This window comes from Homo sapiens, chromosome 13, assembly GCF_000001405.40.
Source record: "Homo sapiens chromosome 13, GRCh38.p14 Primary Assembly".
In the NCBI taxonomy this organism is placed as follows: Eukaryota; Metazoa; Chordata; class Mammalia; order Primates; family Hominidae; genus Homo; species Homo sapiens.
The window spans coordinates 100,357,126-100,370,934 of record NC_000013.11 but is presented as its reverse complement, the minus strand read 5'-3'; the positions used below and the strand labels follow the sequence as shown (position 1 = coordinate 100,370,934).

At 37.1% G+C, this 13,809-nt stretch overlaps 1 protein-coding gene and 1 long non-coding RNA gene across 37 annotated transcripts in view, besides 1 other annotated feature; one reads left to right on the top strand and one right to left on the bottom strand.

Annotated features, from left to right (window-relative positions):
- PCCA (propionyl-CoA carboxylase subunit alpha) overlaps positions 1-13,809 on the bottom strand; it is a 441,343-nt gene that overhangs the window by 159,501 nt on the left and 268,033 nt on the right. For 31 of the 34 annotated variants that reach the window (NR_148030.2, NR_148027.2, XR_007063681.1 and 28 more), the window contains one exon: positions 2,361-2,463. The exons of the other annotated variants lie outside the window; for them this stretch is intronic. Coding sequence is in view for 28 of the 31 variants with exons in the window: in XM_017020609.2 (XP_016876098.1) it covers positions 2,361-2,463 (103 nt within the window). In the remaining 3 variants the exon portion in view is untranslated. The remainder of the gene's footprint in view (positions 1-2,360; positions 2,464-13,809) is intronic. 34 annotated transcript variants of the gene reach the window in all.
- The window catches only part of LOC105370335 (uncharacterized), a 35,417-nt gene continuing 27,600 nt past the window's right edge, over positions 5,993-13,809 (top strand). For 2 of the 3 annotated variants that reach the window (XR_007063852.1, XR_007063851.1), the window contains exons 1-3: positions 5,993-6,028; positions 6,188-6,275; positions 10,228-10,307. This is a non-coding gene — a long non-coding RNA (uncharacterized LOC105370335). Of the gene's footprint in view, positions 6,029-6,105; positions 6,144-6,187; positions 6,276-10,227; positions 10,308-13,809 lie in introns of those variants that run through there. The other variant, XR_007063853.1, reaches the window with a different exon arrangement.
- Positions 6,726-7,020: a silencer, noted in NCBI's record as "tiled region #7114; HepG2 Repressive non-DNase unmatched - State 23:Low". NCBI's record gives its function as "represses a minimal TATA promoter and a strong SV40 promoter by Sharpr-MPRA in HepG2 cells {active_cell/tissue: HepG2}" and the evidence as "EXISTENCE:reporter gene assay evidence [ECO:0000049][PMID:27701403]".

Genomic DNA, 13,809 nt, shown 5'->3' with positions numbered 1-13,809 from the left:
CTTTGCCTGCACTATCTCCAGAGTCATTAACCCAGACCTGGCTTGTCACCTGTAGGCTAATTTTTTTCTTGATGTGACAGTGGGTGATCTGGGAAACTAAGTTAACAATCACAGTTCTCCCGTCTATGACCCTAAAAGCAGACAATAGTGCCATACTATTGAAATATTTCTACCAATGAGCCTTTACTTCGCCACGCTGTTCAACCTGCCTCCTTTCATAATACTGATGTCAAATGAAAGTAGCTAAATTTAAATATGCCTAGGAAAAAGGGCTACACTATCATGTGCACATGCCTTTCATTGGGCTATTGATGCTCTGACAGTAGCTAAGCCAATAAATATAGGAAATCATTTCTGATATTATATACTAAGGTGGATATTTTCCAGGGAAGTTTTTAATGCACTAATTTTGATGTGTTTTAAAAACAGCCCTGTTTTCCTCATAAGCTAAAAAGTGAAGCTGGAGATAATTCTACAGAAAAAAATTTGAAAGATACCACGTATGCAGTCAGGCCAGAGGTCTCTACTTTTCAACATGGAATCTAAAACAAACATAAAGAAGCAACGCTCGCCTGTGATCCCAGCACTTTGGGAGGCTGAGACAGGAGGATCACTTGAGCTCAGGTGTTCGAGACCAGCCTGGCCAACATGGTGAAACCCCATCTCTACTAAAAATACAAAAATTAGTTGGGTGTGGTGGCATGCACCTGTAGTCCCAGCTACTCGGGAGGCTGAGGCAGGAGAAATCACTTGAACCTGGGAGGAAGAGGCTGCAGTGAGCCGAGATCATGCCACTGCACTCCAGCCTCTGGGCGACAGAGCAAGACTCTGTCTCAAAAAAAAAAAAAAAAAAAAAAAAAGAAGTAACAGCTCTGAAAAGTAATCTAGACAGTTTTCTTTATTAAGGTAAGGCACTACTTAAAAGAACATTGTATCAGAATATCAGATTACAGTAAGGCTTCAGTGGTGACTCAATATAGAACTGAAAATTATGCTAAACTCTACATTTTTGTAAAGTTAATCTTCCCCCAGAAAAAAAAATGCTACATTGTAATATTGATACTCTTTACTATTCAATTCCTATAATTTGCTACTCAACCTGATCTCTGGTTAAATGTGCACTTACAAAGCTGTTTTTCTGAAATGACCATGTCAATAGGTGGAATGTAGAGAGTCACACAAGATCTCATGAGACAGCTGTTTAACTCCATCATAGCTTTCATTTTAAGAGAGCTGAGTGAAGTATCTTTCAGTATCTAACGTTTCAGCAATTTTGGCGTATACAGTGAATCACAACATTTAAAGAAAACCAAGGAGACTACCCTTAGTTCATGGACTGACATCATTGATCTGTGAGTCTGACACCACACAAGAATGTCAGCTTCTCCAGGGCAACAGCTTGGAACTGATCTGGTGCACAGTAGGCATGCAACAATTATTTGTGGAATGAATGAATTCTCATGAATCTTCAACTTGTGATATTTTCTCACTGAGATCAAGAAACTGCCGTACCCCTCTCAAGCCACACCAGGTCTTATTTGTGTGAAATTATATTGTTTTGATGTTCATATCCTATTTCAATATTCTGATAAAAATTCACTTGTTTCCCCAAAACAAAATGACATTTCAATGCAATTTAGCCGTAAGAAGAGAAATGTAGATAAACAGAATATTCATTATACTAACTATATATTAATAGCAACCTCCTTGAGTTCAGGCTGAAAACACGAAGGCATACGACTTAAAACAGCAACTCTTAATGGTATTTTTCTGGCACACTCGGATCACAGTTTTAAACATATCACTCATACTACAGTATAAACACTGAAATCTTACTGTAATCTTGTTCACTATAGACTAGAATTCCAACTGTGGCAGTTCTATCTTGGACCCTATATCCAAGGGGTTTAAGTTCTTCAAAACAAAAAGAGTGTCACCACAAGGTAAATTTAGCCTCAAGAGTGTCTTGCAGCATGAGATTTAAAGATAATGTTATGTGAGGCTTCAGATTATTTGTTTTAAAAGGATGGTTACCTACCACCACTATCATACATTTGGAACTGTAATTCAAAATGCTCTTCTCTGTAACAAAGGCAAAAGTATTACTTCTCACAGCATAAAAGAAAAATGAATCAAGTATCAGAAAGTGAGTTTAGGATGTGGCTAAATCTAGAAATGTATTTCCTAATAAGCATAAGAGAACAAAAATTTCCATTTCCATTCAGCTTCCTAAAGAAGATGAAAAATACATAGAGGTACTACAAATTCAAAAGACGAGAGTCACTGAACAGGTTAAAAATGGCTTTAAATATTCATAGATAACATCAAGATTACCAAGAAAATAAAGAAAGAAAACTCACCGAGAACACTGACCCATTGTTTGATGCTACTACGGTATGAACTTTATCATGCAATTTTACTGAGAGCTCCCAGTTGGCTATGTCTGGTTTAATAACAGGCATTCTGAAGTAGAATGAAAAGAAAAAGAGTTAATAATTTTATATTATTATTTCTCAATAAACTAATTTCCCTTTGATATAAAATGCACAGGCTAAAACTGCCATTGAATGTATTTGCGAACATTTTAAACACCTACTCTAAGAATCATCATGTATCTATGAATTTGAATTGCCTAATTGTTACAGTCATTCACAAATTCATCTGCCTGAAGCAGTATTAGTTTTTTTCAATATTTGGTTACTATTCAAAATGGTTTTTTTAAAAAAAAATTACAATGAAATAAGTAAGTATGCCATGCCTTAAACTTCAGAGACATAAAATGAATTACTGAGTTAGCATGATGTGGCCTAGAGAATCATTTTGTTCTTTACTGGTGATGAGACTAAAAATGTATTAAACAATGAACCTCTCTACATTATTCTACTTATAGAATGTTTCTTCATGATGTCAATTAGAAGAGAAATATCTTAGTACATTAGCTAGGATATAATTTTTTTTAATTATTATTATTATTTTTGAGACGGAATCTTGCACTGTCGCCCGGGCTGGAGTGCAATGGTGCGATTTCGGCTCACTGCAACCTCTGCCTCCTGGGTTCAAGTGATTCTTCTGCCTCAGCCTCCCGAGAGGCTGGGATTACAGGCGCCCACCACCACACGCGGCTAATTTTTAGTATTTTTAGTAGAGATGGGGTTTCACTATTTTGGTCAGGCTGGTCTTGAACTCCTGACCTCATGATCCACCCGCCTCGGCTTCCCAAAGTGCTGGGATTACAGGCATGAGCCACCGCGCCTGGCCGATATAATTATTTTTTGCAAAAAAAAAAAAACAAAAAAAAAACTATACTTATTTTATAATGTTATTACTAAAAATTCACGAAATTTAAAAAACGAATTTAAACATTACTCAGATACCCACTTATTATGTTATTATATAATAGGACAACATCTAAATTTTGCTAAAATAAAGCACATTCACACACACACACACACACAAAACCCTAAATGACTTATGAGTTCAACAAACACTAAGCACTTGGCTCTAAATTGTGGGGCACCACAGAGAAATAAAACACAGTCCTCATCTTGGAAACTTACACATTATTTCTTTTCTAGCCCTGGTTTTCCCCATCACCTAAAACCCCCCAGAAAGGACTCCATATCTATGAACAATGTTAGTCTTATCATACGGGTCTTTTCTTGCATATTATCAGTATTACATGGTTCAGAAAATCCGTATCAAGCAGCCAAAGACAAAAGTGTTTTTAGAATATAAATGTTTCCCACGACTTTTTAAAGTAACAAAATTTAATGATTTCAGAATTAACCTAATTTAGGTATTGCATATTTATACTTGTGAAGTAATATTTACCAAGTACTAAACATCAGCATTTTGTAGTATCTGGGCTCCAGCTTAAACCACAGTTCTGAAAAAATGTTCCAAGTTATGTTTTCATTTAAACCCACCAAATTTTCAAAAGAAGTCTCTGTGTATTCAGCATTAAAAAAATCAGAGTCACAAAAACTATGCTTCTAATCCAATCACCTCTAGATTCAATATCTGATTAATATTATTAATTTAAATACATATTTGTATTTGACCTACCACTTCTTGATCTGCATTATTCTGAAGATAAGGATATGTTTTAAATACCATGGAAGTAAAAATAAAAGTAAAAAAAAAATGCATCAACAATAATGCACACTGTACACACAGGCCTTGACGATTCTTTCTGGCAGTGTGAAAAGAACTGTTTCAGGGGATAGAGCCTCACACAGAAGAGTATGAATGAATGGGGGTGCAGGGGAGTTGAGGGAGACAACACACAGTGGGGAGGGGAGGAGGAGAGGGAAAGAAAAGGAGGTCTGAGCAGAAAGGAAGAAGGGAAGAAAGGGCTTCTGTGCCAGTATTCCTCTTTTTTTTCTTAGCACCTTTATTCTACAGGGCATTTATTTGTTTATATGTTTGTCTCCCAGTGTCCTGTGGGCTCCTAAAAGACCAAAATCATTCCTTATTTTTGTATCTCCAGCTCCTGGCACAGGATGGAGACAAAGAGATGAGGGATAAGTAGAAAAGACTGTGAGGAGTGTCTACTATGCACCAAGCACGTGTAGAAGGGGAGGCTGACTTGCCCAGGAGAGCAAGAGCACAGGTGTGACAGGACTGTGTGCCCCAAGCTCCTGGATACTCCCTGGGTGTCCCTGGACTACGCCTATCATCTCACTAAGACTTCATTTTGCTCACTTCGAATGGGGTCAATACTCCAATTTCACAGGGGTATTGTGATTGCAGAAACAGCCTCACATCTAGATGACCGTGCAACTTGGCTTTCTTGAATCTGTGCTTTCCTCAAGAATTATGTCACTATCTTGCTCATGATCATTTGATCGTTTTCTACCCCACACCAAGTTACATCTTTATTAACCTAACTACCATTCAATGCCTTAAAAGTAAGAACCCACCTTTTGCATTCAATTTTATTTCTGCTTATTCTCTGATTTGTCTATTTGGTTAGGACAGACTCTTAAACCAAGCTACCATGAGGCAGAGAGCAAGACAGTGGTTTTGAACTCAGGCCTTGATGAGTCACAGAAGCTGACACAAAACCCGGAGCAAACTGTCTGTCTCAGTTTCCTTATGTATGTATAAAAGATTGTAACAATATCTGCATTGATAGGGAGGTGTTGATTAAATTAGGTGTATACATGCTATAGCTTTTATTATGAGTAGTTGTCCCGGCTCTCGGCCTATATTCTTACTTTCCCCTATAACTGAAACCTCTTTCTTTATAGAAACTTTGGATTCTCATCTCATCTCTCTGCTTCTCACACTAACAGATCCTTCAAGGAAAATATTGCCTCCCTCACAAATTGTTCCTTAATTATAGCATAAACTCAAGAGATCTTTCTTCCATTTAATCTATGTCATATGCTGTAATATTTTTCAAACTGTAGCAGCCTGATGGAGTAGGGATTGAGAATTTCTTCTATCACGTAACAAGTCTCTGCTTCCAGAGGCATTGGAACATTGCTGATCCTGACATCCTGTTCCAACCCAGAACCCATTTTCCCACAGAAAGGGACCTTATAGATGGTGATGAGATACAGTTGCCACTCTCCAAAACCTAAGTACTATTTATTTTTCCATTGTTTTATTTTGATTCACATCTGTTTCATATATATTATAATTTGTCCCAGGAGGGGCCTTATGGAAAGAGTACAGGGTTTCGAGTTAAAACATCCAGGTCTAAATCTCAGCCTGTTCTACTAGCAATGTACCTGAGAACTTATTCAATCTGTTTGAACCAATATTTCTACACCTGTAAAAGTGTATCAGAGTTAGGCAAGTGATAGGAAGCTACTGCTTCTTCTACAAACTTAACTCCTGCAGTGGCACTTTTCTAACAATTTTTTCCTTTTCTTTTAAGAAACATGATCTCACTGTGTCACAATGGCTGGAGTGCAGTGGCCCAATCATAGCTCACTGCAGTCTGGAACTCCTGGGCTCAAATGATCCTTCTGCATCAGCCTCCTGAGTGGCTGGGATTACAGGTGTGCGCCACCACCAGGTCTGGCTTTTTTTTTAAGAGATGGGGTGGATCTCGCTATGACGCCCAGACTGGTCTTGAATTCCTGGCCTCAAGGGATCCTCCTGCTTTGTCCTCCCAAAGTATGGGATTACAGGTGTGAGTCACAGTACCCAGCCTTTTTCTAACAATTTCTTTCAGGGTGATATGTTAACAGGATATAGGAAAAAGGCTTCACTGTGCAAGACCTCTAAATACCAAAACAGAGTCGAAACTGTGAAATCTATTTGTAAGTTCACTCTTCTACAAACAAAATTTGCAAAGATTCCTTCTGGCTTGACATAAGTTTGAAACTAGTTTTGTTTGGGTTTTTAAATAAAATGGATGGGTTGGGCATATATGCCAGTTAACTGGCAGATATAAATATGCTCTGCAATAGAAATAAGCTATAAATTTTAAAAAATACAAACCTGAAAGAATGCATGCTCTATTTCTGCAAAATCACTGAAAATACATTTATAATACTTACTTTGAAACATTCTTATTAATTTAACCAGCACAGACAGATTTATGATAGTAACAATTACCTACAATTATGTGCTAAATGTTTAGAAAAGAATTACACAGATCCATTAAATTCAAAATAGTCTCAAAGAAGATTTTTATGAACAACTCTCTGACAATAAGGAAAAGGTCTTAGAACTTCAACTCACCATAGTAATGATACAGTTTCCTTTAACGAAGTACATTTCTAGTGAAAGATGCTGTCATCTGACCAAAAATTTAATCTGTGCAACTTATTAGTCACCTGCAAAGCTGATACCAATTAAGTTATTTCTTCAACAAACAAACAAAAACCAAAAACCCCAGTAAAAAAGAACTCACATAAACAGTGACTCACAAAGCAAATAAAATAATAGCTCTAACCCAGGTCTGTCCACTTTATCATCAGCCAGCCAGGATGAATATGCTCGACATAACTAAATTTTTTATATTTGATGGTGAAGAACTGTCAGCTGATAGTCACTATTAATACTAATACATTTAACTTACTGGAATATTTTACTCAAAAGGGTGCTTTTGAGTAAATACTTTGCTATTACAAGTCATTTGCTAAAAGAAGACTGTATAAACATAAAAACTCTCAGCATCTTCAGTTAGAAAGGATTATAAGCATTTTAAACCATAATTATCAGACACTCAAAAAAGCTGGTTTTTGTTGTGCCATCACCTCTTTAGAAGTAAAATACTGAGTTAAAACAATGCTAATGGTCAAGGAATCATTAAGAAATGCTTCATCATAACTTTCACAGTGGGTGGGCTGTAAAATGATCGAGAATAATATGCTGCATTCCATGGCCACTGAGGTCAGTTTCTGCATACAAATCTTTGCAGGAAGAAAAAGGCCTTCAGAAAGTGGGCCATTCATCTGAACCAAGTTCAGAGAATTTCCAGCACGGTGAAAAGATATGTTATGCAAGCACATAGATGTATTCAGTGGGGGTAGACAGAACCAGCTACATGGAGACTACAAAGGAGCCCTCCCATGGCTCATGAATAAGTCGAGGAAATGATCAGAAAAAAAAAAGGAGAGAGAGATGTTTAGACAGATGGCCCACTTAAAATGCCTGAGACAGGGCATAAGCAATTTTAATGAAACTTTAGATCTAGTATATGAATTGTTTCTTATTTCCCCAGGGTTGGGGAAGGGGAGGAACAACTCCCAGGGAAGATAAAAATTCAGCAATTCACTGGAAAACTCACTTTTAGAACGTTGAGATGGAGGAATAGTTAAGTACAAGTTTTAGTAGTTTTTTAACTAGTGCAATAAATTCAAAAAAAATTCTTTACAGAGCCATCAGTTATTAAAATGAATATAAAAAGCATAGAATGAACAGATTAAAGGAATTTTAAACAGAAGTCTACTGCCAAACCAAACAAAAATCTGAGCCTTATTATGTGAGAACTTACAACACTCCAACATTAAAGTTCATCACTGCAGAAGAAAGATAAAAGCAGCATTTTCAGAGAACCTCTTCAAAGCTAGGAATTGGCATAGAGGAGGATTAGAATTCTGCCTACATGCAATTGAAAATGTGTATGTTCAAATACATGAGACTGTGTGGAAGAGTCTGTATCACATAATCATGCTGAGAAACAGGGAACACCCCCAAGTTTGGTGTTATTAGCATTACAAATAATTACACAAATGACATCTGAATCTAGGATAGAATACGTAATGTTACTCATAATCTCATATATTTAAATATTATGCATACTCCCTTTCCTTCTTCCACCGATAAGGGCTTAAGGTTCTCAATTTAGACACTGGGCATGATTAGCCAGGAAAGGCACTGTGGCACAGCTGTCACCCCAGCAGACCCCATGTCTCACTGACCAAGTGCAGACCTACAAAAGCTGTGTGACCTCCATCCACAACTTACTTAGCCTCCTTGTGCCTCAGTTTCCTCATCAGCAAGACAAAGATAATAAGAATGCCTAACCCATATGCTGCTTACATGAGATAAAAGGTGTAAAATGCTTAGAGTAGTGTTTGGCACATAAATGCTAAATTAGTTATTATTGTTACCATAATTGGGTGCAGAAATATCTGAAATCCCTCTCTTTTGTTTCAGCAACTGTTATTTTTTTTTAAATTTTACTCGCATACAACTAACATACAGTCAAATTCCAAGATCTTAAGTTCTGTCATTCACCCTTCCAGTCGCTTGGCTCTGCCTGCCACTAACAGTCAACCAGAGATTATGCTTGCCTGTTCTGAGCTTCACAAGAACAGACTCCAAAAAAAACTGTGGCTTTTTTGACCAATATAATGTTTTTGAGGTGCATCCATCCATGTTGTTGAATAGTTCATCCTTTTTTTCTTGCTGAGAAGTATTTTACTGTACCAACACACCAAAATAAGTTCATCCTTCTGTGGATGGACATTTTTGGTGGTTTCCAGTTTGGGGCTGTTATAAACAAAGCCACTGTAGATATTCTTTGTACTTGATTGCTTTTTCCCCCCTTAAAGAGGTATGTCTTCATTTCTTGGGGGGTAAAAAATCTAGGGAGTAGAGGTCGTAGGCTAAATGTAGGTTTAATTTTATATGAGTTGCTAAATTGTTTTCCAAAAGATTACAACATTTCCATGTTTCCACTGCAATGAGTTACTCTACATCCTTGCCACCATTTGGCATTGTCAGTCTTTCTAATTCTAGCCAGGCTAGAGGCTGGGAAACCGCATCTTATCATAGTTTCATGTATATTTCCCCCATGACTAGTAATGCTGAGGACCTTATGGTGCTCAGTGGCCATTTATATTCAAGTTTTTGCCCATTTTTATTAGGTCATTGGCCTTATTTTTATTGATTTGTGAAAGTTCTTTATTTTGGATACAAGGCCTTTGTCAGATTTATGTATTGCAAGTATTCTCTTCTGTGGTTTGCTTATGAATTTTCTTAACAATGTCTTTCCTTCAGCAGATTTAAAAAAAAAAAAAAAGACATTATTTTTTAAAGCAGTTTTAGGTTGACAAAAACTCAACAGAATTTCAATTTCCCATACATCCTCCCCCACATGAATTCCTCTATTATGAACATCTTGCATTTGTATGGTGTATTTGTTACAATTGATAAGCCAATATCAATGTTACTGTTAACTGAAGTCCATACATTAAGGTTCACTGTGTTATACATTCTGTGGGTTTTGACAAATATCTAATGAAATGTGTCCAGAATTACAGTATGATACAGAGTAGCTTCACTGCCTACAAGTCCCCTGTTCCACCTATTTATTTCCCCTCCCTCCCCCGAATGCTTGGCAATCACTGATCTCTACCATCTCCATAGGTTTGCCTTTTTCAGAATGTCACTTAGCGCTGGAATCATACAGAATGCTGCCTTTTCAGATTAGCTTTTTCCCCATACCAATATGTATTTGTTTCCACTGTCTTTTCATGCCTTAGTAGCTCATTTCTTTTTATTGCTAAATAATATTCCATTGTACGGACATACCAGTTTATCCACTCGCCTACTGAAGGACATTGCTTCTCAGTTTTGGCAATTATGAATAAAACTGCTGTAAGCATTCACGTGCAGGTTTTAGTGTGTGCCTATGTTTCCAGCTCATTTTGGTAAATACCAAGGAGCACAACTCCTTGATTATATGGTAAGGTTATGCTGTGTAAGAAACTGCCAAACTGTCTTCTAAAGTGGCTTACCATTTTGCACTCCCACCAGCAATGCATGAGAGCTCCTGTCGCTCCACATCCTCAGCAGCACGTGGTGTTCGGTGTTCTGGATTTTAGACATTCTAATAGGTATGTAGTGGTATCTTTTTACAGTTTTAATGGAAGTTTTTAATATTAACAAAATCTAACTCACTAATTTTTCCTTTTATGTTTAGTGCTTTGTGTCCTTGCTAAGAAGTTTTTTGCCTACATACAAAGTTTCAGAAGATATACTCACATGTTTTAGATGTTTTACATGTAGATCTGTCTATGATGCATCTCTAACTTTCCTGTGTGGTAGGAGACAGGGGTGAGCCCATTTCAGGAAAATTTGTAGACCAAGTACTGCAACTTTGTTCCTATTAGCTATTCTAGGTCTGATATGGTTTGGCTGTGTCCCCACCTAAATCTCATCTTGAATTCCCACGTGTTATGGGAGGGATGCAGTAAGAGGTGACTGAATATGGGGGCAGGTCTTTCCTATGCTGTTCTCATGATAGTGAAGGAGTCTCACGAGATCTGATGGTTAAAGAAAAAAAAAAGGGGGGGGTTTCCCTGCACAAAACTCTTTTTGCCTGCTGCCATCCACTTAAGATGTGACTTGCCCCTCCTCGTCCATGATTCTGAGGCCTCCTCAGCCATGTGGAACTGTAAGTTCAATTAAACCTCTTTCTTTTGTAAACTGTCCAGTCTCAGGTATGTCTTTATCAGCAGGGTGAAAATGGACTAATACAAGTCCCTTTGCATTTCCATAGAAATTTCAAAATCAATGTGCCAATTTCTTCCACATCCTCCCTGAGATACAATCCCAATAGAATTACTATCGGGCCTGCATTGAATCTGTATTACTGTAGAGAGAAGTGACATCTTAATATTTTCTCTTCCAGTCCATGAGCAGGATATAACTCTTACTTCTTCTGATTTTTAATTTATTTCATAAAGTGTGGTAGTCATGAATCTCTTTTGTTAACTTTATGCCTATTTTTGCCTTAGTTTTATTCATTGTATGGCAGACTCCTTAGAGTTTTCTTAGGTAACCAATTAAGGTGTGGAAAGCTTCCTTTGCAATCATTAGGCTCCGTTATTTCTTGCATGCCTTCATACTCTAACTAGTGACGGTGTCTGCTTTGCCTATTTTTATGCTATGTTAAGTGGAACTTTAATTTTCACTTTCCCATTGTTGCTAGTTTATTCAAATACAACTTGCATTTGATTGCCTTTTTATCCTGTAATCTTGCTAAATTTGTTAGTTCCAGCAATTGTTTTATAGATTCTTATAAGGCTTTCTATGCAAACAATTATGACCTCTGTAAATAGAAATGACTTTACTTCTTCCTTTCTGATTTCTATGCCTTTTATTCTTTTCTTTCCAACTGCACTGGCTAGGATCTCCAGGATAATACTGTATAAACACGATAAAAACAGACAACTTTGTCTTGTTCCCAATCTTAAGAAGACAACATTAAATATTTTTTCTGAAGTTTCTTCACTCTCTTGCCTTTCTTTTTGTCCTTCCTAATACATGCTTCCTGATAACTTATAGTGCCCACAAGTCACCGAGGCTGTCTTCCATTTTTTTTTAAACAGCTTTTTTCTTTTCTTTTTCTTTTTTTTTTTTTTTGAGGAGTCTTGCTCTGTTGCCCAGGCTGGAGTGCAGTGGCACGATCTCAGCTCACTGCAAGCTCCTCCAGCTCCCAGGTTCAAGTGATTCTCCTGCCTCAGCCTCCCTAGTAGCTGGGATTACAGGCGTGCACCACCACACCTGGCTAATTTTTTGTATTTTTAGTAGAGACAGGGTTTCACCATGTTGGCCAGGCTGGTCTCAAACTCCTGACCTCAGGTGATCTGCCCACCTCGGCTAAACACCTTTAGTGAGGTGTATTTGACATTTTAAAAAACAGCATGTTTAATGCACACAAGTTGATTAGTTTGGACATATGCATACGGTCATTACATTATCACCACAATCAAGGTAATAAACATGTTTTACCTCCAAAAGTTTCCTTTGTCCTTTTGTGTCTCTTCAATTTTTTAAACACATTTTTCTTTCTCTTTTTTCAGATTGCATAATCTCTATTCTTCTATCTTCAAGGTTACCTATTCCTTCTTCTGCCATCACCAGTATGCTTTTCAGCCTATCCAGCAAATTATCCATTGCAGATATAGGACATTTTAGATATGGAATTTCCACTTAGTAGTGTGTTTTAATTTCCATTTCTATGCTGATAGTTCCCATTTTTCCCTCATTTTCATCTTTAATACTTGAAAATGATTTTAATAGCTACTTTAAAGCTCTTGCCCATGAAACAAACATTTTAGTAATCTCACGGTTGATTTCTGTTGACTGCTTTTCCTCTGGATTATAGTTGTCTTTATTCTTAGATTGCATGCCAAGTAAACTGTATTGTGGAGATGTTGTCAGACTTCACTCATCATGTTATCTCCCTCTGAAAAGTACTGATTTTTATTACAGCAGGCAGTTACATTGCTAGTTACCAGTCCTGAAGTTGTGGAGGCTCACTTTTATGTTGTACTAGGAACTATTTGGTTTTGCTCTCAATAAATAAAAAGTCCAAACCATTTATTCCAGAAACAGTCTTTTCTCCCAAGGCATGGTCCTTCCAGGGTTTTAATGGAAAGCTCAAGGTGTTTACAAGTACCTCAAATTGATGAGATTCAGATTCCAACATTATCATAACCATGGTAGGCAACTGAAATTTTAGCTCAGTTCATTCAGCATTCCAGCAGTTCTGGGATCTTCTGGGATCCCTGGGGTCTTTGTTACGCACATTTCCAGGGTCAACCAACAATTTGAGAGAACCTGAATTCACATATGGAACTCTTCACTCTGTTGCTCCCTTTCTGCCATGATATCCCTGCTTAATTTCCAGCAGTTCTGACAACACTGAACATCATTCTCTGAGACCTAAAACCAATAACTGAGTTACAGCCATGCCTTAATGCATGCAATAGTGACTGCTTTCAGAGGAAAAGCCACATAAATGTGCATCTCACTGGTGTAGTTTTCTTCTTTTAGGGGTCGTATTTGGTTGTACATCGACAGCCTTCAAATAGTTGTGCTTTATATTTTGTCCAGAGTTTATAATTATTTATCTGGAAAGGAATTCATTGAAAATACACTACACTGCCATTGTAGGAACTGAAACTTTTCCGTGTTGTTTTAATTTTATGTCACTTGCATTTCAAGGCAGAAGAGGAAAGAAAAGATGGAAGAACGCGGGTTCACATACATCTACTACTTCCACCTTCCAGGTGGTAGCCCAGGAACACTTGATATTGCTACCCCCAAGAGCTACTCTTGCACTAAATTGAGAGCAGACATAGAAACATATTTTACAATTTGAAAAGAAATATTCTCAAAGACTCCATCAAACTAGAAGGAAGAAATGCCTCATTTAATTCCTAAAATTTGAACATCTATTATACCATTAGGAAAACAAATTCTTAAATATAAAATGTGTAACAGACTATATACATTTAAACAGTTTGAGATGAAATTCACATATCATACATTTAACCCATCTGAAGTGTACAAGTTAATGGTTTTTAGTATAGTCACAGAGTTATGCAA